The sequence below is a fragment of the Homo sapiens genome, chromosome 6, assembly GCF_000001405.40.
Source record: "Homo sapiens chromosome 6, GRCh38.p14 Primary Assembly".
Classification (NCBI taxonomy): Eukaryota; Metazoa; Chordata; class Mammalia; order Primates; family Hominidae; genus Homo; species Homo sapiens.
In genome coordinates, this window is record NC_000006.12 from 127,438,162 (window position 1) to 127,461,560 (window position 23,399).

General features: G+C 35.5%; 1 protein-coding gene and 1 long non-coding RNA gene across 2 annotated transcripts in view; both read right to left on the reverse strand.

Moving 5' to 3' along the window:
* Positions 1 to 244: 244 nt before the first annotated feature.
* KIAA0408 lies at positions 245 to 21,228 on the reverse strand. Its single transcript, NM_014702.5, has 6 exons — positions 21,014 to 21,228; positions 15,686 to 15,940; positions 11,829 to 12,191; positions 11,661 to 11,740; positions 8,247 to 9,579; positions 245 to 6,121 (listed from the first exon to the last, which is right to left on the reverse strand). The coding sequence occupies exons 2-6, from the start codon at positions 15,818 to 15,820 to the stop codon at positions 5,948 to 5,950; spliced, it is 2,085 nt and encodes a 694-aa protein (NP_055517.3). The 5' UTR covers positions 15,821 to 15,940; positions 21,014 to 21,228; the 3' UTR covers positions 245 to 5,947.
* SOGA3-KIAA0408 (SOGA3-KIAA0408 readthrough) overlaps positions 245 to 23,399 on the reverse strand; it is an 80,930-nt gene continuing 57,775 nt past the window's right edge. Inside the window, exons 8-13 of the long non-coding RNA NR_174482.1 lie at positions 15,686 to 15,940; positions 13,121 to 13,156; positions 11,829 to 12,191; positions 11,661 to 11,740; positions 8,247 to 9,579; positions 245 to 6,121 (exon numbers count right to left, since the gene is read on the reverse strand). This is a non-coding gene — a long non-coding RNA (SOGA3-KIAA0408 readthrough). The remainder of the gene's footprint in view (positions 6,122 to 8,246; positions 9,580 to 11,660; positions 11,741 to 11,828; positions 12,192 to 13,120; positions 13,157 to 15,685; positions 15,941 to 23,399) is intronic.

Sequence of the window (23,399 nt, forward strand, 5' to 3'; positions counted from 1 at the left end):
CTTTTGCCCCCTATTACTCCTACATGTAGCTTCCTCTAAAGAATATTGTGGGTGCTTCTCTGGCTTTCATTGCAAATGAACTATTTTACTACAGATATCATTAACTCAAAAAACCCTTTACTGGGTTAATTTTAAACAGAAAATTTTAAGAAAATATTCAAATAAACAAATATATAATTCAGGTTAGACAATTTGGTGTTGAGACTGGTCAGCATTATGTAAGAAAAAATCTGCAGATCCCAAATAGCTGGATTAAATTTGTTTAATGATTCTTATAAAATTGCCATGAGTAAGTAATTGAAAAATAAAGCTTCAAAAATAAACTGGCAGCAGAGCACAATTGCAGTCACATTGCTTAACAACAGGGATATGATCTGAGAAACGTGTTCTCAGGTGATTTCATCACTGAGCGAACATCACAGAGTGTAATTATATAAATCTAGATGGTAGGCTTGAAAGTATGATCTATTGCTCCTAGGCTACAAACCTGTACAGCATGTTACTGTACTGAATACTAAAGGCAATTGTAACACAATGATATCTGTATATGTAAACATAGAAAAAGTATAGCAAAAATATTGTATTATAATCTTATCATCATATATGTGCATTGAACTGGTTTGTGCAGCATGTGACTGTAATTTTGAGTGAGGTTTATATTGGAAATTACTGTATGCTTGCTATGGTTTGAATACGTACCTCCAAAATTCATGTTGAAACTTAATCTTCAATATTAAGAGGTAGGGCCTTTAGGAGGTGATTGGATTATGAAGGCTTCTCTTTCATGAATGGGATTTAAGGCCCTTATAAAAGAAGCATCACATAGCATTCAGCTGCTTCTTGCTATTCTGCTGTTTCTCCATTGTTGGCCCCTTCTGCCATATAAAGACACAGCAATAAGGCACCACCTTGAAAGCACACAGCAGCCCTCACCAGACACCGAATCTGCTTGCAGCTTGATCTTGGACTTCCCAGCCTCCAGAACTGTAGAGAAATAAATTTCTGTTCTTTATAAATAACCCAGTCTCAAGTGTGTTTTGTTATAGCAGCACAAATGAGCCAAGATAATACTTCAAGCAAACTGCTTTTATTTATTCTGGAGTATATGTAACTTATGAAGTGTGAAACTATTCTGATTCTTTTGAAGATTGAGGTCAGGATTCAGTTGACGCTAGAGATGAATACTGATTGGCTATTTATTGGTTTTACTTCAACATCATGTCCTACATACAAAATTTATATAAAATCAGAGCATAGGCATTAAAAGTGGAAATATTTTGTTAAAGCCTTGTTCACAACTTCTTGAATTTCATAAAACCATTTAAGTCAGGGGTGATGACTTTTGATGATCATTGAAAGAGGGAATCAACAGAAACTCCCAATGAGAGCAAGATAAACAATTTGTGTCATGTATAAAATGAACAAAACAAAAATGAAAAAGAGCTGTTCAATCTTTTTTTTTTTTTGTCTTCTCTTCCTTGGGAAAAGAAGGCTGGAAAAATAGCCTGAGCTAGGAGTCTGAAGAGCCATCTATTTAACTATCATCTTCAAAAATATTTATTCTAAATATTATCTTGACTACTTAATTTTTCCTTCTTACTTAGAAATCACAATGCCTGCCTTGTAGTTTGTTGTAAGAAGCAGACAAGTCGTGGAATATGAATTTGCTTTGCAAACAATAAGGTCATAGATGCACATGGGACATTTATACAGGAGAGCAGATCATGAGTGAGCCCAGGCTTGGATTCTGTCCCTGCAATCTTGGCAGCCATGCAGACCTCTTTGAATCTCAGGTTTCCCACCTCTAAATGAACTTGTTCTGAGTTCATAGGTCCCTCAAAATCTAAACCGTTACCTACTTTCTAGATTTCTCCATAGCTTCATATAAACAGATTTTTTTCCTAAGAATTTGTTAATTTAACCTATTGGATTAATACTATCATTGAAATGTGTATCAGATTTTAAGTATCATGATTTTATTCCCAATAAAACAAAAAATTATTTTCTATGATGAATATGCATACAATAAAAATGACGAGAAATCATTTTTGGTACTTGTCTGAAGAACTCATCCCCAATTTTTGCCTTTTTTGCTTTGCAAAGCACATTTTCTTGTAGGAACATATTTTCAGGGTGAGATGAACAAGTCATAGTTATAAGTTCTTTTTTTTTTTTTTTTTTGAGACAGAGTCTCACTCTGTCACCCAGGCTGGAGTGCAGTGGCGCGATCTCTGCTCACTGCAAGCTCTGCCTCCCGGGTTCATGCCATTCTCCTGCCTCAGCCTCCCGAGCAGCTGGGACTACAGGTGACCACCACAATGCCTGGCTAATTTTTTGTATTTTTAGCAGAGAGGGGGTTTCACCGTGATGAAACCAGGATGGTCTCCATCTCCTGACCTCGTGATCCCCCCACCTTGGCCTCCCAAAGTGCTGGGATTACAGGCAAGAGCCACCGCGCCCACCAGTTCTAAGTTCCGATACATGTACTTGCTACTTAAGAAAAACATGCCGAATTTAAAGCAAATAGTACTGTAATAAAAAAATCTGATTTTCCTGAAAATGGTTTAATTTTATGATGTAAATGCAAATCTTAGAAGTAAAAACTTTTTTCAAAGAAGACTTTTATCAGACTCAATTAGCAGTTAAATGGGTAGAGAGAGGATGTCAGTGTACGAGAAGCCATATGGAGTTTTGGGTGGCCAGGAGCAGGAAGTCAGGCAGGTTTGGCTTCAGTTGTACTACCTAGAGATATTTTGGAAGAAGCTAGAGTGAACTGTGTACATATATGAGTTTAGATTTCATAAGACACTTAGCTTTACTGGAGTTCACTGCAGAAAATGAGGGAAAGAAAAATGTTCTCGATGTATACAAATGCCACAGACAGTTGTTTTTACACCTACTTTATTTGATAGCTTCTAATGGCTGAAGGAGATTTCAATATCAAGTAGTTGTTTGTCACAAATGTGCCTAAAAATAACTTTAAAGATCTTTGTAGGGAAGCAGAAACTCTTAAGTCCAGATGTTTTCTCAGGATAACTAAACCTGGTAAAATCACCTATATAGAAGTAAATAATATTTTATGGCCACATCTGCAAAATGAAATATGATCATCTTCATTGTCGATATAAAAACAAATGAAAGTTATGGGTAATTTTTGATAAAATGAATTATACAAAGCATCATTTATATTTTTATATTTGGCTTTGGGACATAAGGCAATATGGAGAACTTATGTGACACTGACACAAACACACACACACACACACACACACAAACTCAAGTACTCCTCTCTGCCTCATCCTTATTCCTTTCTGAGATCAGCCCATAATATCAGTAATCCTCTGCTGAACTAAAATAATATTTTTGCTCCAAAAGTCTGCTAGGGAAAACATCTATTAATATATGTTTTTAAATCAAATATTTCCAGAAATGCTTACAAGTCCCTTTAAATCTAGCAATGATAGCATAATAAAGGGCATATTCTAGGGAAGAAAATGCCCACCTAAAGTAGAAATTTACCAGTTAAAAATCACAAAACATCAAAAACTATTTTCAAGGATTATTTCCATTTACCTAATAGGTTTTTCCATTTAAAAGTTATAAAATATTTAAAAAGAGAAAACAGAACATTCAAATAACCTTAGTTTTTCAGTTTTACAATCAAGGAGTTGGACTAGATGCTATTTTTTTTTTCTCAGCTCTAACTATAATTTTAGTCAACATAAGAAGACGTTAAAATGTGTCCCACTGGTTCATTCAACTGTTAATAGAAAAAAGTGGCTTAAAATTGTGAAGTCTGAAAGTATAGCCATTCTAATTTACAGATAACAAAGGCAAGTCCTAGGAAGAAAAGTGACCACCCAAGGGCATCCATCCATTCAGAGATCAAGCAATGTCACTGTTTTCAAATCTGCCTGATCATCAATATTTTGCTTTGTTTTGTTTTGTTTTATTAATGGTTCTGGAGTCCCAGTCCCTACCCCTGGAAATTTTGCTTTAGTAATATGGGGTGAGATCAGAAATTTCATTTTTTAAAGAGATCCTCAATATTCTAAGGAACCACAGATCATACCAGACTACTTGGGATACACTGGTGGAGAGGAACAGATAGGTTGCACAGTCCTTGGGCAGGCTCTCCATTGTCACACAACAGCATTTTCCTAACAGGTCCGTCATTTTATGACCCAGGGTTCCTCTTTCCTGGTGTTTTCTCCCCTCTAGCTGGAAAGCATATTATGAGAGTGATATTACTTGGTGTCTAGTTTACTTTTCTTTGATAGCTTCCTGTGGAAAAGGATCTTCCTGAAGGAAATAAGAATTAAAAGAGTAGATGTATAGACCTTAGTTACCATCCAATACAAATCACTCTAGACCTTTAATTCCACTTAACTACCGAAACTGTCCTTACAGTAAAGTATGAATCTAGACATCACCATGCTACAGTCTTGAGCCTTTCAAGGAAGTCTGCAATTTGAAAATTATTTTCTTTACCTCAGGTCATGGGGTACAATGAAGTGAATTTCTCTAAATGGTTCAAATACATCATAAGGAGATGGCTCTTGGAATACATTTGGCATAAGAATTTCTTAGTAAAAGAAAAGCTTAAATAGAGTTAATATCTAATAACATAACATAATTGGTTTTATATAGTGACAGTAGAGAGCAAAGTTCCTTCTAAAATCTTCCATTTAGAATTCCAAGCCCCTCGACATTCATATTTCTGTCAGTTTTCAATATAGATTTTATGTGTTCACTGTATGCAAACTGTAGCCAAAATACACATTTCTATTCCTGATGCTACTGTGGATGTCAAGGTTTAGTTTAAGCCTTTTTTCGGTAGCAAACTGTGAGAAGTATAATTTCAGCTTTCAAAGAAATATTATTCCTGATCTTCCTTGTTAGTAAAAAAGTAACTTAGTTTGTTATCTATTAATTTTAAGGAAAAGATTAGAAAAAGGAAAAAAATAATAAATGACTTACCTCTAAGTATGTATGACTCCATGTTAAAGCAGCTAAACTAAAAGCTTACCACAACTTAAAGAAAAACTAAAATTCAACATCATTCAGTTTCTTTTTGCATCCCATTTAGGAAATGTTTGTTGCTGAGGCTGACAAAATAAATTCATCATTTAATCATGTCATTTATAATGCAGTCTCATGATACTGTCTCTGAGGATCAAATATTCAGTTAAAGCCATACTAGACTACCAAATAATATATAAAACATTTATGAACATTTTATGCTTGCTTTACAAGGCTGATCTATTAAACTTGTGACATTTTTATTTAAAAAGAATAAACAAGAATATCAATGGTATTATTTTATCCTTATATGGGTTAAGAAATTATTTATGAGTTGTCTTTAGAAATCTACCAATGTTAGATGTGTGCATAATTCTTCTTTTTCATTGTAGCTGGGGGCCAAGGAAGTGGTCAATTAATATTTGTACTGCAAATGCCTTAAGTGGATACCTATTAAAAGGTATACAAAATATAAACAGTACTGCATATTTTCAAAACTTTTAAATAAACACAAAGAATATATAGGTATACATGTTATAATTTCAAAGTCAACACTAGCACATAAGTTTTTCATATCTAAATACATACTAGGATACTTCCTATTTCAACACATGCACCTACAAACACATGGCCATGCACATAACCTTACTTTCTGCCACTTGCAACAAAGAATATACAATATTGTACATTGTTTCAACTTATATTGTATTGGAAAACTAATGAGGATGGCATTAAAAAATTCTGATCTAAGAAATCAAAATGCAGGAAGATAATTATTCCTTAGATTAAAAACACTGAAGACTGATGGAAAGTTAAGATTCAAATTGCTTGTCGGAAGAGAACAGGTCCGCCTGTAAACACTCAGAATGCTCTGTTTGACAAGTGGGACTAGAACTTCTGTAATATAGCAATCCAGGCCAAAGACTTAAACCATCAATGCTTCGGATCGCAGAGAAATGGTATAGTTGTGGGTAGTTCTCCGCAAGGCAGGGGGTGCAGATGGAGATCTGGATGCCCATCTGGAGGGGAGACGACGATTTGCTGGTCTAGCAGGTCGGGAAAATCCTTTTCCATGTGAGGCGTTCACTGACATGGATTCCTAGGACACAAGTAAAAACATTCCTCTCACTCTCTGGGTACCAACAATAGGCTTAATATATGATGGGTCTCAACTATAAGATTAGTCCGTTAGTAAATTTACAAGAAAGAAAAAGCATTGAAAACTAAAGAAGGTAGTTGTCTAATATTTGTGGTTTTGAATGTTTTAAAGCAATTCAATTTTAATATGGAATATGATATTTGATAATTTTGTACCTTTCCTTACACTGACAAATTTTAATACAGTTAATCTCTCTGTAGAACTAATGATGAGCTCAGGATTTAAAATTTCAAGTTAAATAACTTGAATATCATGGAAATACAGATGTTTCTTAGTGCGCTGTTAGTATGTTACAGTGTTATTTAAAAATAAAAAGATAATTTATAGAAGAAACTGTTCATTTATGTCAAATTCATTGACACTTTTAGAGGTGATACGCAAAAGGCACACAAACCAAATGATTAATCTGATGCTTTTTTTTTTCACTATCACTGGCACTATCTATCAAAACCTTAAAATTATCATTAAAATACTTTTAAATACATCTTCATTCTAATTACTAATACAAAATTGCTATCTCTTGGGCATGTTCTGATGAGAGAAAACCTTTTCCTTCACTTTTCTTCTCTTTCTTTTATTTTCTTCCTTCTTTCCTTTTATTTTAATGGAAAAAAAGCATTCCTTGGTCCTTAAAATTAAAACAAAAGTACAAAGCTTCCATGACACACTTTATACACTTGGTTCTTATTGACCCTTCTTAGACCCCACAAAGCCTGTGCTCTTTCATCTGAGCTAGGCAGTGAGGATGGCCTCCTATTTCTACTATTTTAGCCATGGTCTGACAGTAAACTGCAGTTTCTTTTTCTTTTTGGAGACTTATTTTCTAGATTTGTTCCCACAGGAGGAAGAACAAAAAACAAAAACAAAAACTGCTCCTGAGGATCTATAGTAGAGAACCTCCCTGCCAAACTCCCAATGAATGCAAAAAGGGAAATCACTCAGTATTATTTCTTGTTAGTTAACAAGAATTTTGTTTGGTTATTGTACAGATATATCTATTTCCCATCTTTAGCTATAGGACCTTGTGGGCATTGATGGGCTCAATTAAAAAGCAGAGAAATACAAAAGCAGGATACTTTCTGCACCTTATAAAAACAGGCAAGATTTCTCATAAGATGGATGAAAACTGATATTTTTGCAGGGTTTGAAATCCACATAGTAGTTTTTTACACCAGAAGGAAGCAACTTGCATAATAGTTTAAAACCATGCTGCGTACTCACTGCATTCTATGAAACTAGGAGTTCTGAAGTATTGGTTAATAACAACAATATGTCACCTTGTAATTTTTGTTAGCTTCTTAAAAATTATATGAGTAAAAGAGAGTGTTGTATAACTCTTCTTTGTAAATACCAATTTCTTTGACCTCTTTTTCTCTTATAACTAATGAAGATTAAACTCTTTCATAAATAGACAGGAACAAAAAAAGATAACAGTTTACTTAAAATGTCCATTTGAGTGGGGTTTTTTTGGTCAATTTCTATGCTAAGAATACATACAAATAAGAATAACCTTATTTATATATACTATCTTTTAGTTCCACAGATAAAAGGACTCTATTAGGCACTGTTTTAAATGATGTGTATTTCCCATATTCATATTAATGTGATTAATCCTATGAGAAAGAACATGAGTCAAATGCTGAGAATGACTGAACCAATCATAGTTAATAACTGAAAAATGAAAACGATTTTAAAAATATTTTCCATACACTTAAAAAAGAACCTTTAAAATAATGAAATTCTATAAATTGAGTAATGTCCATTCTGAGTATTTTTTCAAGAAAGAGCAAACATTTGATCTTCTTCAGGTTCCTAAATCCACTTACTGTATTTATGTTATCCCATTTCAGAATTTTTCAAAAGTTACAATGTACTATTCTCAGTGTTAAAAACTACACCTTCAAGGTTCATGTTGAGTTATATTTATTTACAAACAGGGTCAAGAGGCTAAGAAGAGTCCAAAACTTGTGCCCTCATTCTATTTATATGAATTGGACATATAAACATGATTCAGAGCCATTGCTAATATGGATGCTACCAAATTATGTTATATTTGCTTTCTCACCTCTGTTATCTTTTTCGGATCTATTCCTTGCTTCACTTCCTGTCCCCCCCACACAGCTGTCTTTTGCTGAAACTGTTGTTCCATTTGGAGCATTTCTAAATGCTGACTTAATGTGGCACCACCACTGACATCAGAATTACATTTGGTCCAATTATCCTGGAAGCACTTAGAATTTTGCAATGCAGACTCTGTTGCTGTCTCATAGGTTTTCAGCAGCTTTTCCACAACACCATAATTTGACCTGGGATCAGCTGACCTCGGACGGCCAGACAAATTACTCGGTCTCCAGTCATGCTCGTGGAGCATATTTCGATAACTGCGAGGACTTAGGTGTCCCTGCATTTGTCTTACTAGGCCTGTTGTGGATTTCTTGGTGGGATTATCAGGCACATTTTCCATGGGCACAGGCATGTGGGCATTGGTTTTCCAAATACCGGACACATCGTTACTTTGTGATATGCTACCTGTGTGAGTAGATGAGGTATCACAGGGCTTGAGATCCTCCGATGATTTTGAGCAGCTGTGATTTTGCTGTATTGCCTGACAATTTCTATCTGTTCTAAATACAGTTCTGTTAAATTCATCAGTCTTTGCTGCCAGCTTCTCATTCCTTGTAGTCCTTTCAAAGCCACAACTGAAATTTCTAAGTGGGCTACTGCTCTCTGCTACTGAGGAGCTACAGTCATTACTTACATGAAGATCAGGATGAGATTTAGCAGGGTGATCTGGGATCACCATTTCATATTTTGGATTACTGGGGGTAGAGCAGGTTTTCTGAAACCACGAAGTAGAGGGGCTCCTTTTTGCACCTATCCCAATGTCACATGACCACATGCTAAGTCCAACATCTTCATTACTTGGAGGCTTGCTATCTATTTTGACTTCTGGTACCAAAGAGGAAAAGATGATACCATCTTTCGAAGTTTTCCCTTCATTTGGATACAACATAGACATCTCTTGTTGTCTCAAAGGGAAGTGAGGGTTGTAATTCCTTTTACTTCGACCCTCATGGGGCACCCAGCTGTTGTGGTCTAACCTTTCCTTCCATCTTTCATAGGCTTGTTCAGAATCCGAGCTGGGAAAATTTCGAGAGGTGCTTCTTGGAGGAGGAACTGGTGGAGTTTCATTTCTTTTTAAATCGATTGTATCAATTCCACATTTTTTCGTAGAATTGCTCTGGAGCACATTGGTACAGCTCAGATTCTTCCTGTTTTTCTGTTTTTCTTTTTCTAAACTGATTGGAAGAATGCACTGGTCATTGTTGATCATGGGGTCCCCATGAGGTATATTAGTTACATTTGGCATTTCCTGGAGAAAAGAATCTGACTTCATCCTAAACAATGATAAAACATGGTGTATTGGTTATAACTTTATTTAGAATAAGCTCTCAAAAGCAAACATAGCTAAAGCAATGAGTTTCTGCTATAAGAAAAGGATTCACAACTGCCTCATACATCATTTTTACATAAATCTCCCAGTCAAAAACTTCAAGTCCTTTTATGGTGGAATGAAGTCTACCTCTCAGTGTTATATTCAATGCTCTACACACTCTGACTCAAACTCTTTCCAAACTTGTCTCTCATTTTCACTATTACCTGAGACTTCACCTACCCTCAGATTAAACTATGTAGTCTCCTGGGTTTCTGCTACTGGCATTTCTCTCTCTGTAGCTTTTATCTTGCCATTCCCTTACCTTCTCTCTGCCTGCTGAATTCTTATTCATTATGTAATGTGAGCTCAAGTTCTTCTCCTTGAATTTGAAATAACATTTTAAGTAGTCAGATACAAATCTGAATAAAAGTGCAATGAGATATGAGTAATTCCAAATGGAAAGTGTCATTTGGTCTTGAAAAAAAGTAAAAATTTTTTGGATGACTTGAGTAAAAGGCATATAGGATTGAAGTAAAAGGCAAAAGGATTAAATACTATGGCTACTCGAAGGAAAATGAGTACTTTGATATGGATTAATTATAAAGCAGAGTGGGGAGGATAATGAAAAATGAGAGAGAAACATTAGGTTATGTCAAATTGTAATGTCTTTGAATTACAAATATCTTGAACCTTGTTCTAAAGTCCATGGGGTGACAATAAGAACATTATATTAGGTGTGATTTGTAAAAGAAAATTGGCAAGTAAGTCTTTTCTGAGTTATATTAAATAAAAAACTAAATATCGCAATTCAAACTTAATCACACTGATAAATATAAATCATATTTATACCTCTTCAAATTATAAAAGATTATGGGATAGCTTACAATAAAATGTGGATAAATACCTATTAACAGAGAATAGAAAAGCTAAATAGGCAAATAGAGGACAAAGTTATGTTTAAAACATGATTGGCTAAGAAAATCTATTGCAAGTCAGCACAAAAATTCTTTCTGAGCTTCCTAACAACTAATGAAAAATAAGGGAATGTAGGAAGCCTACTGACCCACGAGGAGAGATAAATGTTGATCCTAGAATAATCCATCTTTACTAAACTTGTAGAGAATTCCAATATATTTGTTAATTTGGCTAAAACTTACTGTTATTAAGTATATACTGTTTCCAAATGGAAACAGCATTTTTTGTGGCACGCGTACATGTGTACATATTTACAATATGTTGTTCTGAAAAGTATGTAGGCCTCCATTACATAAACACGAATTGAAGCAAAATAAAGTGCTCTTAAGCATTAAATATTTTAGTAGAACATGATTATATAAGCAAAACGCCACACTGTTAATTCTGACATCGTTTAATGATACGTTTAACTGAATTAGCCCAGTTGTACACTTTCATTGTCCAAATGCTCAGAATGAGAAAGAACTACTTTAGAGGTTACTTACTGATTTTTTATGGAGGGTCTACCTTAATTAGACACGAAAAAGAGTAAAGTATTACTAATAGATTACAAAGAGAATTGGAAGATTTGCTTTAAGAATTAGTGAACAGAGAAATATACAATTACAGTTTCTGGCCTGGCGTGGTGGCTCACGCCTGTAATCCCAGCACTTTGGGAGGCTGAGGCAGGGGGATTATTTGAGGTCAGGAGTTCGAGACCATGCTGGCCAACATGGTGAAATCCCGTCTCTACTAAAAATACAAAAAAACTAGCTGGGCGTGGTGGTGTGTGCCTGTAGTCCCAGCTACTTGGGAGACTGAGGTAGGAGAATCGCTTGAACCTGGGAGGCAGAGGCTGCAGTGAGCCAAGATCATGCCACTGCTTTCCAGCCTTGGAGACAGAGCAAGATAACATCTCAAAAACAAACGAGCAAACAAAAAATTAAAGTTTCTATCTCCCACCCTAGATAGTACATTTTAATAACTCATTAGTTCTTACATGTAAGGAGGAGGCAGTTTGGAGTCATTAACTAAAAACAATATTATTTTTTATTTACCCATCTAAAATAATCAGATGTACCAGCCTACCTTCTATGGTTAGACCGCTTTCGAATTTCCTCTTGAAAGCTGCATAATTCTTCACTCACCTTCGCAAGTTCTTCAAGAGCCTTTACACATATAAGCAACAGCCCGTTAGCACTTTGAAATGTAAATATTTCTTTAGAAACAGTTCTAGGCCAATCACATCTTACTTACTGTACTGAGGGCGCCAGAACAGCTCTTGCTGTCTTCCTCAGAAGTCCTCAGGTCAGGCCAGGCCTCACATTCCTTTTGGTTGTCTGTAGCCAAAGGATCCAAAAACCCTACTTTTGATTTTTTTGTTGCTTTTTGTTCCTTACACATTTGATTTCCTCCACTGACTAAGCTCTGCTCTCTTTTATTTTCTTTTCTCAGACCATCTTTGTGATTCGTCCTTATAAATTCACTTTGTCCTAAATCGGGGTAATTTGGGGAAGATTCTATCACTTTCTCTGGAATGGTCTTCTCATGGTAAAGATCAATGATCTTAGCACTTTCATTGATATTGATTTTCCTCCAAAGCTTTACTTCCCGGCAAAGCTGTAAGAAAAACAAAACAAAATTAAAACTTCTTTTCCCCTAATTCACTTTGCTAATATTCTTGATACTAAGCAAACCGCTTTGAGTTCTCTTTGCCATATTAAAATATACTTCCTGGGTATTAATGCTTCGGCCTCCAAATAGTGCCTCTAAAATATGGATTAGCTGGAACAAGTTTGATGAAACATAAAGGCTACTTTTAGTAGGGCAACACATGGATGCTAATTCTTTTGACTAGCAATCAATCATTCAAAAATAAAATAAATCTGTATCTGTATATAAATACAGAAACACTGTCACAAAATTAGAATGACCTGAATCAATTACTGGCCATATTATATAATTGCTTTCAGAGAGATGCAAGAATTTAACATTAAAGTCATAGTTTTCAAATGTCTGGTCCTACTTGTACACTAACATTTAACTGTCTAAATGCTTGACAATCTCAGATAGTAAGTCAACTTATTCTTGTTCCCTAAACAGTCACTTGTCAGTCAAAAGATGTTTCCTTTGGTTGGTCAATTACATTGTGAGGGCTAGATATTACTGAGATTTTTAAAAAATCTCAAAGTGATACACATTTTTAAAATATTTCTCATCCAGATTAAAACAAATATGACAATACCCTACGTGATATAATAGAACTGCAAGGCTTTGATCATCTATTAGTCTGTATTAAGGTAGAATCCAGATTACTTCTTTATGAGATCTTAGTTGAACCTGCACACACTCATTCAGTTCACTTCTGAATAGAGGAAAGAAATGGCTTTCTCTTTAGGCTTGGGTCATGTAAAAGCTTGTCAAACTTCAAAAGAGACTGTCAGATGACTATCAAAGCAAATGACTCTATGTTTAACAGCCGCAATCAATATCTACACTACATGTATTATTCAAGTAATATAATAGATTTATTGCTGCTTAATACATACCGATAACTCAGTTGAGAGAAGCACTAGAGTTGATGCCTGAAAAATATACAGTGTATTTATTTTTCTAATGCTTACAAATGTATTAGTATTTATTGTATGAAGTCAGGATAGCATCAAACTGCAGCCATGAATTGATTGTTTGGTCCCTGCCAAATTATTTGTACTGAACTTCTGCGGGCATTATGGTTTGAGCTGACCTTGAGGGATATAAGAAGGAACCCTAAAAAGTGACATGTTAAATCTAAGGATGCTCTTGGTGACACTGTCCTGTTTTTGCGAAGTCATGAGTGAAAACAAAATTGCTTTAGTTGCAAAACCGGGAAAAATGTGCTATTCCTGGGAAATAAGTTTGCCTTATCATTTGAATTTGAAGGTATATGCACCTGATAATTTTTGTTAGTTACTAGAAAGACTCACTGGTACATTTCATATATGATCCTTCCTCCTGTCTTCAGCTCATCTTTCCATTTTTGTTTTTGCATATTTTATATCATACCTAATTTTATGCCATCTTAAATTTTCTTGATTTAGGTGAGGTATGAATCAACAAATAACAATGTTATTGATGGAAAACTATTTTGTACAAAGGTACTATGTTACTTGGTACTCAGCCCTTGTCAATGGTTATCTGATTATTCTACCAAAGGATACAGGCAGGAGACTACAGTGTGGAAAAAAACAAAACAAAACCCCAGACGTCTATAAGTTCTATCCAGAATTTCTATCTGGATTATTTCAAATTTCAAATGATCCAAGTATGAACATCTTGGTTTTGCCATAGCAAATGCAATGACTGTGGATAGTGGCTGAACAGGGAACTACGAGCATCTTAATAGCCAACACTGCATCCTCTCATTAGATATTATCACTTAAAGTCACTGAAGATATATGTGCATACCTGGGAATCTACAGTTCTCTAGTACATGGCTTAATAATTTACATCTGATTTAACATACAGAACTTTGTGATAAATGTTAAACAAATACAATCTTTTATGCTTGTGGCATGAGATTATTTTTCCAAGTGTTGATTTCTTAATTTTAGTTTAGTTATGGAGCTGTATAGCACAGGCAGCAAAACATAAACAGCAGTACAGCTACTCTCCAAGATAAAAAAATATGACAGCCCGTTTGTCTCTCTGATACAGAAAGGGATGTTATCTCTATGAGGTATAATTTGATGTTTAAAGCATATTTCATGCCTGCTAATTGATAAAGCTAATATTTACCATAGATGAACTCTATAGAATTGTCAGAATAATTATTGGACAGTAATAAATTTAATCAGACAGCAGCTTCTTTTAACTACATGGCTTTAAAAAATTGGCTAGACTAATCCTGCATCCCTTAGTTATTTTGCTTGGATGCTAGAATTGTCTGAGACTGTTATGAACTGAACTTCCCAAACATTTGGAAGGCAATGACCTAGGACTACAGGTCAGTTTCTGATTGCGCTGGAGTTTTGGATTCTGATTTGACCAGGGAATCTCTTTGTTGATCCAATCCGAGTATGGGTAGAGGGGTTAAAGGAGCAAGCAGGACACATTTTCTAAACTATAGAGGGACAAGAAGTATATATTCTCCTTTAATCCCTAATCATACACCACATGCCTGCCTTCTCAGCTCTATTTTAGAGGAAGGGCTTAATAGTTACTTTTCTTCAGCTTTCTTCCTACTATGCCAATTCATATTTTATTCACAGTCAATTACATGGCTGTTAATAAGAAACATGACTGTACTATAAACACATAAAGCACTTACTTTGCCTGCAAAAAAGGCCAAGAAGTCTTAAAATAACAACTTTGGTAATGTGCATAAAACCATATAAAGTCAATACTAAGGATGTTACCAAAAGAAAGCAAGATAAGCATAAATTATTTCCAATTGGTGCAAAAGCTTGAATATACATCAATGCAAATGCTTGAAGGAAATATTTCAGGGTCAACGGACTGAGGGAGGGTTAACGGGAACAAAATGACTGTGTCAGAGTCGTGATATGTCATTTTTCATAACTCCTTTTCCAATAAATATGCCACTAAATGTGCACACCTTGATAGAATAAATCTCATGTCTACTGCCATTTTCTGTTTGATATATGATACTCCTTTTGATTATACTGCATTATCTAACATGTAATTTCCTTTAATAGACATTACTCATAAATCTTCTTAGGAAAGATCTATGTTCTAATGCCCAACTATAATTTTGCTAATCTATGTCCCACCAAGTATATCTTTCTTGCATTTTACTCCTGGACCTGGTATTTGAAAATTCATGCAAAATACATACCTCACTTTTGATAAAAAAGCTCTCTAGCCAGAAAATAATAAGTTGAAACATTATAGAGTGACATTTCAAATGCTTAATTTTCATGCAATGATATAAAATAATCCTTACAATACCATTGGATAAGATTATGCTATTTTTGTTCTAGTAAATGTCACTGAGAAATGTACCTCTTAGGTCGAATAAGGAAATCAAAAACAGTTTCCAATACAAAACAGCCCACAGAATTTTCATCCTGCACTTAAACATTACAGTATATCCAAAACAAATTAAAGTGTACCTCTTCTATTTTCTTCTGCATAATCTTCCATTGACTTTCCCATTCCTTTCTTTCATTGTCAAACTGGTCCAGTAATTCCATCTTTTCCTTATGCCAGTTAGTCTCTGTGTTCTCCCACTGCTTATGTAGGTCCATGGCAACAGTGTAAGTGTCAGCAAAGAAGTGTTTCTGCTCTTCTCTGCCTCCTCTTAACTGTTTCTTGGAAGCTTGAAGTTGTTTTATTTGAAGCAGTCTCACTTGCCTTTAAAATAAAGCCTAATATAAACATAACAAGAGAGAGTTCCAAATCCATGTGCTTTCTGGAAATATATTTTATCATTTTGTCGAGCCATTGACATAAACAAACTATAGGAAAATTGGACTCAAAAGAAAAGAGATGACAACAGTCTACTTAAGAAGAAGAAACTAACACAGTCAATAAAGTAATAAGTATTGTCCAAAGTTTTTTTCCCTTTCTGAGACCAGACAGCAAAATTATAGTGGACAAGATGATTAAATGCGCATGTGAGATGTAATCATCCCTTTAACCACTTACTCTAAAAATAGATTTTTTCATGAATAAGAGTGTAAGTATACAATTCAAATGTATGCTCACATCTACACACTGTGACAGATTCTGCTGCAATAAAATTATTCTTTCTGTTCTGATGCAACCTGATTATATATTCTTATGACTTAAATTCCTGAAACAGAGCTGGTTTGCAGTCTTAATTCTATATTCAGAGATCAAGCCTGTGCCAAATGTCATTACTGTGTTACTTATGAAGACCCCAAAGTTGGTAGTCAACTTAGGACTGATGTATCATCCAGAAACTAATCTAAATTATAAAAAATATATTCATTATGTCACTTCATCAAGGAAAATCTAGAAGCATCAAAACTATCCTGTGAAATATACGTTAAAATTTATCCATGCTCTCTTTTCCTTTGAATAGGCTATATACCATAAACTGCTTAGGATATTGAATACAGGGAACTGAAGAAAACATTTTGCTCAGTTTTCAGGGAATCCTCTATTACATTAAGTAGTGACTGAAATAATTAACTTTCTAGCCTTCAGGGACGTGTACTTAAGGTTTGAAGTCAGAATTTAAAATACCAGCTATGTAACTGGTATAAGTCTAAAATTTCTGGGATTTAGTTTTTTGCATTAAAATGGGGATAGTCATAGAACTGTTAAAAAGATTAAATGGCATACTGAATGCAAAGTAGTTTGAGAAATTTAAGAAAGTTTTCTATTTTTTGCTTTACAAAATTTCATTGTGACTTCAATTAAAAATAATTTTGTATTAAATAAGTCATGTGCCTTTTTAGGGGGTAGAAAAGCATGTTTAAAATGTTTGAATCTCTGTTTAAGATAATTATGCCTATAAGATGTCTAACTCTTCAGTCACTAAGCCATTATCAAAATGCTATAACTTACTGGTGGCAGCTAATGCTAATTACGGACAAAGATCCCAACAGTCAATAGCTTTGTGGGTGCTGGCACTGCCGAATTAAGGCCACATACCCAAGCAGCAAGTGCCAATTTTGTATTCACAGAAGATAACTGCATATTTCAAATCCTAAATATCAGCTAAATATCGAACACTAATTTTATTTTTGTCAGACTGTTGTGAACATACATATCTGACTAGTAAACAGTTTTGAATCTGTATTTTTTGAGTCACGATCAATGAATTAGAATAGAATAAGAAATGAAAAATGTTAGCTATATATGCAGGGTTCTACCTTCAAAACACCCTAATAATTTTGGGATCTATATTGTTACTTTACTCTCAAACTATTTACTAAAGATATTTTGATAATTTTTTCCTATGTCTTTGGCACTAGCACTATTATGATTAATTCAGTCACGAAAAATACATAATTTCATATCTGGCTATTAAAGGTGCTATCATATCTCATTTTATCCATTTGGCCATGCTCAATTTCTGACCTCATTTCTCCACCTCCTCTGTCACCCCTTTCTTTGCTATCTTTCCCACATATAAACCAGTAACCACAAGTACTTGCCATAATAAATGTCAGTGAAGAACAAATAAAATAAAGATGGTAAAGAACATACAGAGTTTTGGTTTTTGTTTGTTTTGGCTAATCTAATTTCCATTGATCTTGATCTTGAATACCTAGTAATCTTTTAGGTTCGTCTAACAATTCTTCATAGGAAATGCAGACAGTGCCTGTCTTGAAACTAGCAGACTGCTTTAAAACTATACGTAATTAACTGTGTGGTGAAACTACCTTGCTGACTAGAAAGTATTTGCCACTGGAACTTCTTAGGAAGAATGGTGTGGTTTGAGATAATAAGAGATAAATGCAGATTTAACCAAAGAAACTAAAAAAGGATGCAGACTAATTTCAAGCTACCTGGAAAAGAGGAGCTATGATAAATCCATGTTTTATCCCAACTGTCTTTAAACATTGGAAATGTTCAGAAATCACCATAAAGTCTTTTCTACAATTATGTAGCAAATGGCTCCAATTTTTCCTTCTATTCCTAACTCTTCTTGAATCGCTTCCATGCTACTGTTGAAAGATGCCAGGCCTTTCTCTTTTTAACCTACCGGAAGATCATTCAGGAATACCCTAGATCAGTCTTGCTCTTGATAACAAGACTATATCTAAACCCAGGTAACAGTCCTGAAGCAGACCGAATCCTGCACCTATTTGCAAAGAGCCAAACTCATCCCTTAATATGGAGAAGGACCAATGTATGGAGCTTTTCCTTTCCAGGCCCAGAGCAATTGCTAGTGCCAAGAAATGTAATAGTTATGGATCAGAAACAAGCCTTTGCAAGAACATTTCTATAGAGCAATATCTGTGCCAATTTTTTGTGGAAGGATTTGGCCTTCTTAGCATCTCAGTCTTGTCGTAAATATAATGTTAGATGTAACGCAGCCAAACATATTGCTTCCACCTCTAAATATAAAGTGGTGGGGGGGGGGCATAGAATTGTTTTGGAGATTAAGTGAGCAAAAGGGAAAAATGCTTAAAAGAAGTGCCTAAACACTGCTCTGGATCATAGCAAATGCCTGAAAAATACTTGGTTCTTGTTTTCTTCCTTCTGTCCTTTGTTCCCTCCCTTCCTCTTCTTGTCTTTCCTCCCTCCTTCCCTTTCTCCTCTCTTTCTCCATCTATCCCTCTCCATGTTGTTCTCTGGAAAAAAAACAGATTATTTTGGTCTTTATTTTAAAACGAGATAGAAGCAAGTGTAATTGTGTGAACTCTCATATTCTCCATGATCTTCTTTTGCCTTTTTTCAAATATTTTAAAGATACATGTCACATATTTAAAGAAAAAAGTTTTATTGTTAATAAAAATGTGAACAAATCTTATGTAAAACTGCTTTTGTTATAAATCTGACTTAAATATTACAAAAAATATCAAACTGAAGGGGCAACTTTGTAGAGATAGAATGTTTCGTAATGAGAAGTTATGGGGTAAAGTGGTTCAGCAGATTCAAAAACTCAATTTAAGTGCTCTCTACTGGGGCAAAAATAAAAGTTCTTTTTGTTCCTAGTTGTCACTCATTTTCTCCCACAGATACTGGCATCTATGTGGGAGAGAAGGAAGGATTTCTGCTATCTGCATCCCCTACCCCATATCTCTTTGGCTCTCCAGTTTATGTTCTTCCTTCTAGAATTCCATTTCAGAATAAAAATTTATTAGAGCAAATGTAAGAGGACAGAGTGAGCTGCATTACTTAGTCACACACCCCAACTCTAAACCAGCATTGCATAATCCCTTTTAACTTACTTCCCCTTTCCAGGGCTGAAAGCCAGAATTATAAAGAGTTGTGAGTGGGTTGCATAAGTATGGTGATGGGAGGCAAATAGTTCTGCTAGCCTTCCGGCCCTACCAGTAAGCAAAGTTTAAGAGTAACACACAAGTCTCACAAGAAATTATTTTCACCCCCAAATTAGCCTCAGTTTGGTCATGGCAGCAATTCTTTCTCTGAGGGGTGCTCCATTCTTAGGACACCTGGGTCACTACCCTTTCAACCTCCAACTCGCCCATTGAAAACTGGACTGCATCCAAACAAACTAAACAGCGTTCCTTAGGGGCAGCTGCTCCATTGCTACTTCTCTCTTTTTAGATTATTGTTTAGAGTACTTGTTTCTTGCTGTCCTTATTTCCTTTTGCTAAACATATCACTTTTCACATAATTAAAGATTTTTCATTTATAAGAGGTTACATATTCCAATAGAAATGCCACACACAGTAGGTACTGCTAATCTCACAATTCCTAGAAGACTCATTTGGCCTGAAGATGTTTTGCTTCTGCTTAACTTTGATGGATTAGGAATTCCCCAGCTTATAACCTATCAGAGTAATGTACCATTTACCTCCTAAATTCTCTATCCCTTTCTCCAGGCTATTATAATCACTTGAATTATTTCAATGAATTAATAAATCTCATTCCTCTCTATTGTTCACTTGCAATTGAATCTTTCCAAAGACCACCATGATTTGATTTTGTTAGAGTAAAAGGGAAATTTTTTTCATTGCTGTGTATTGCTGATTTAGCACATTCCTCATGCTCCAACAAGGTCAAAGAGACACTACCACATGCAATTCCGAATGAATCAACTTTACCGTTTCATTTAATTATCTTCTTCCTTGTTTTCTTTACAGTTATTTACTCAAATTAGAAAACATCCAAGCTGTATGCACACTGATTTTACTTATAAAATGCAAACTTTAAAAGCAAACATTTGGTTTGAGTAAACAAATGTCTAAAACTAACCATCGTGAACAAAAGACATAGTGGTAAGTTTCCCTCCTAAACGTAGATTATTCAATTATGAATGGCATAGACTTCAGCTCAAATTACAGAAACACTAACTCTACAGTGAGTCCACCACCACCTTAGATAAAACTAAAATTTATTTTTCACCGCAATTTTCAAATACCAAGTCTCCAGGATTGTGACCTTTAATTTGCAAATGTTAAAAGTCTTTATATGAATAAAAAAAATCACATTTGAATAAATATACTTAGTGAAAATCAATGATGGGCAAAGTGCTTTTCAAACAACTGAGAAGCAGTGTTGGAAAAACAGTCTCAAAGAGCGGATGGTACTGTCAGTCCACAGTTGGGAAATCCACCCTGAGCAGCTGAACAGCCTTTTTCCTAGGAGTCAGTACAATCTGTTATGCACCCCGCCCACTGTTTTTAAGCCCAGACACAGACAACAGCAGAGACAGATGTTGAAATTACACTCCACTTAAACAGTATCCATAGTTTAAAACATCTCAACAGCAGCCCCTTTGTATCCTGCCATAATTAGTCACTTGCTTGTAAACTTGCCGGAAAGAAACATACCTTTCACACTGGGGAGAAATCCTATGGATGCTCGACCACTGGTCAATTAGCAGTGGAAGAAAGTGGATGGCTAGCTGTCTTAAAGAGAAAAGTCTCAGCTCGGTGAATCTCGATTCTTTACAAGAAAAGGGGATGCAAAATAAGTCCAACCATTCCACAGAGCAGTACTGACAAGTCCCTTTGAAACCTTCACCACTTTTACAAGTCAAAAAGCTGCTCAGCTTAGTGTCACAGCAGCAGCTGAGACTACTGTGACGTCAGTTACTTGGAGGCGGCCTTCAAGCCACCTCTTCCAACCAGAGCTCTGTAACTTTAGAGCAGCTCATGCTCTGGGTAAACAACTCCAGGTCCAGGACATTTTTAGCTTTTATAATGGAGCCCAGTATTTTCAAACTTGCCAAAAGAGCTGGTTGTTAACATCATACAATGACAATGGCCAATTTTAGATTTATTTTATTAGGAAAGTAAACTCATTTTTTTATAGGCAAGAATTATCTCCCTCCTTCCATAATTCTTTCTCCTTCTCAGCTGGTGGCAGGATGTACTCTGCTGCACCTTTAGAAGTTTGCATCTGGATGTGGCAGAACAATATGTGTAGCATAATTATATATATTATGCACTCTCAAAAGATCTGTGAAAGTTATCAAACTTCTATCTTCAAATAAAATAGAAATGGAACATAAAGTCCAACCTCTTAGCTCTCTGTGATTCTGACAGTGTGTTGCTTTTATCTACAGTAGTAGCGATGTCTTTACGTTAGAGAAAATCAGAGCCCATGGGAAAGGATGAGATTTCTTATTGTGGGAGGACAAAACACACACACACACACACCCCAAAAATGAGATACCTATGGGCTTATTTTCCACTAAAGTGTGCTGCAGCCATAGGAAGAGAAAGCAGCCTAAGTGTATGGAAAAGCTCTCTAAATCATGATCAAATCAGCCTGTTCTGAAATGCTAGGAGATCTTGCCTCCCCAGCGACATTTTCAGGTTTATTGTGGCTTTGTACACACATGCATCTGATGATATTTGGTTTAATTTAGTCAAAAAAGTCTCTAGAGCAATTTTTTGCCTAACTTAGCAAATACACAAGTTTAAACAATAAGGTCTTATCTTCAAGTCTGAAGAGCTTCCCTGGTGTGGTCTTTAAAGTAATACATATTCACTCACATTATTTTCACCTGCTTCCAGATAAACATTTCATGAGGAGCTAAAGTTTAGTAATAGTAACCTGCTCACAGTAGGACTTTAATACATGTAGGACAATCAAATGAAACCATACTCTGTGTCTGGAAAGCCTGACATCATAATCTCAACAGCAATAACAACAATAACAGTGATAGTTATAGTAATAATAGTGATTATTCACTGAGGGGCAACCCTCTGCAAGGTTCTGTGCTAAGTACTTTGAACAGACCTTTATCTGAGTTCACCCTCAGAGCAATTCTGTCTCTAGATACTGATAATCTGATCTTACTGATAAAACCCAAGCAAGGCTCATTGTGGTAAAGCATCATGCAAAAGTTCATAGAAATGCACCCATGTGGAGGAAACGGGTTTGAACTGTTTTGTCTGATTGCAAACCATGGAATTTTGTCATAGAGATCTAAGTTTCAATTCTGCTGCCACCACTTATCTGTGTGATCTTGCAGACCCTGATTCTTCCTTAAAGACATAATTATATTTACTTTAAGAGGCCATAAGAATATGAGGGAATATATATAGCGCCAAGCACACAATAAAGGGTAGCTCATGTCTGCCTCCATGCTTATGAGGCTAGGAAGAAGATTCTTTGAGAGAGGGAAAGGGAGGAGGGAGTTGCACAAAAACATCAATACAGAATTGTCTTAACATTGTTTCTGGCCGGGTGTGGTTGCTCACACCTGTAATCCCAGCACTTCTGGAGGCGGAGGCAGGTGGATCACATGGGGTCAGGAGTTCGAGACAAGCCTGGCCAACATGGTGAAACCCTGTGTCTACTAAAAATAAAAAAATTAGCCGGCTGTGGTGGCTCAGGCCTGTAATCCCAGCTACTAGGGAGGCTGAGGCAGGAGAATTGCTTGAACCCGGGAGGCAGAGGTTGTAGTAAGCAGAGATGGCATTCCTGCACTCCAGCCTGGTTGACAGAGCAAGACTCTGTCTCAGAGAAACAAAACAAAAAACATTGTTTCCTTTACCTTTTCTTCTACTCCAAACTTCTTAACTTCTATGTATCACTTGTAAATCAAACTAAGACTATTTTGTAAATCCTATCGAAAATTCAGATAGTATGTGTCTAAGTTACAAGAGATGTTAGGTTGGACTATACTTCCTAAGTGTCACTCAGTAGTACCCATTTCAATCTCTTTTAATGGCTGTCCCAGTGTGATTGTCCCAGGGCAATCAC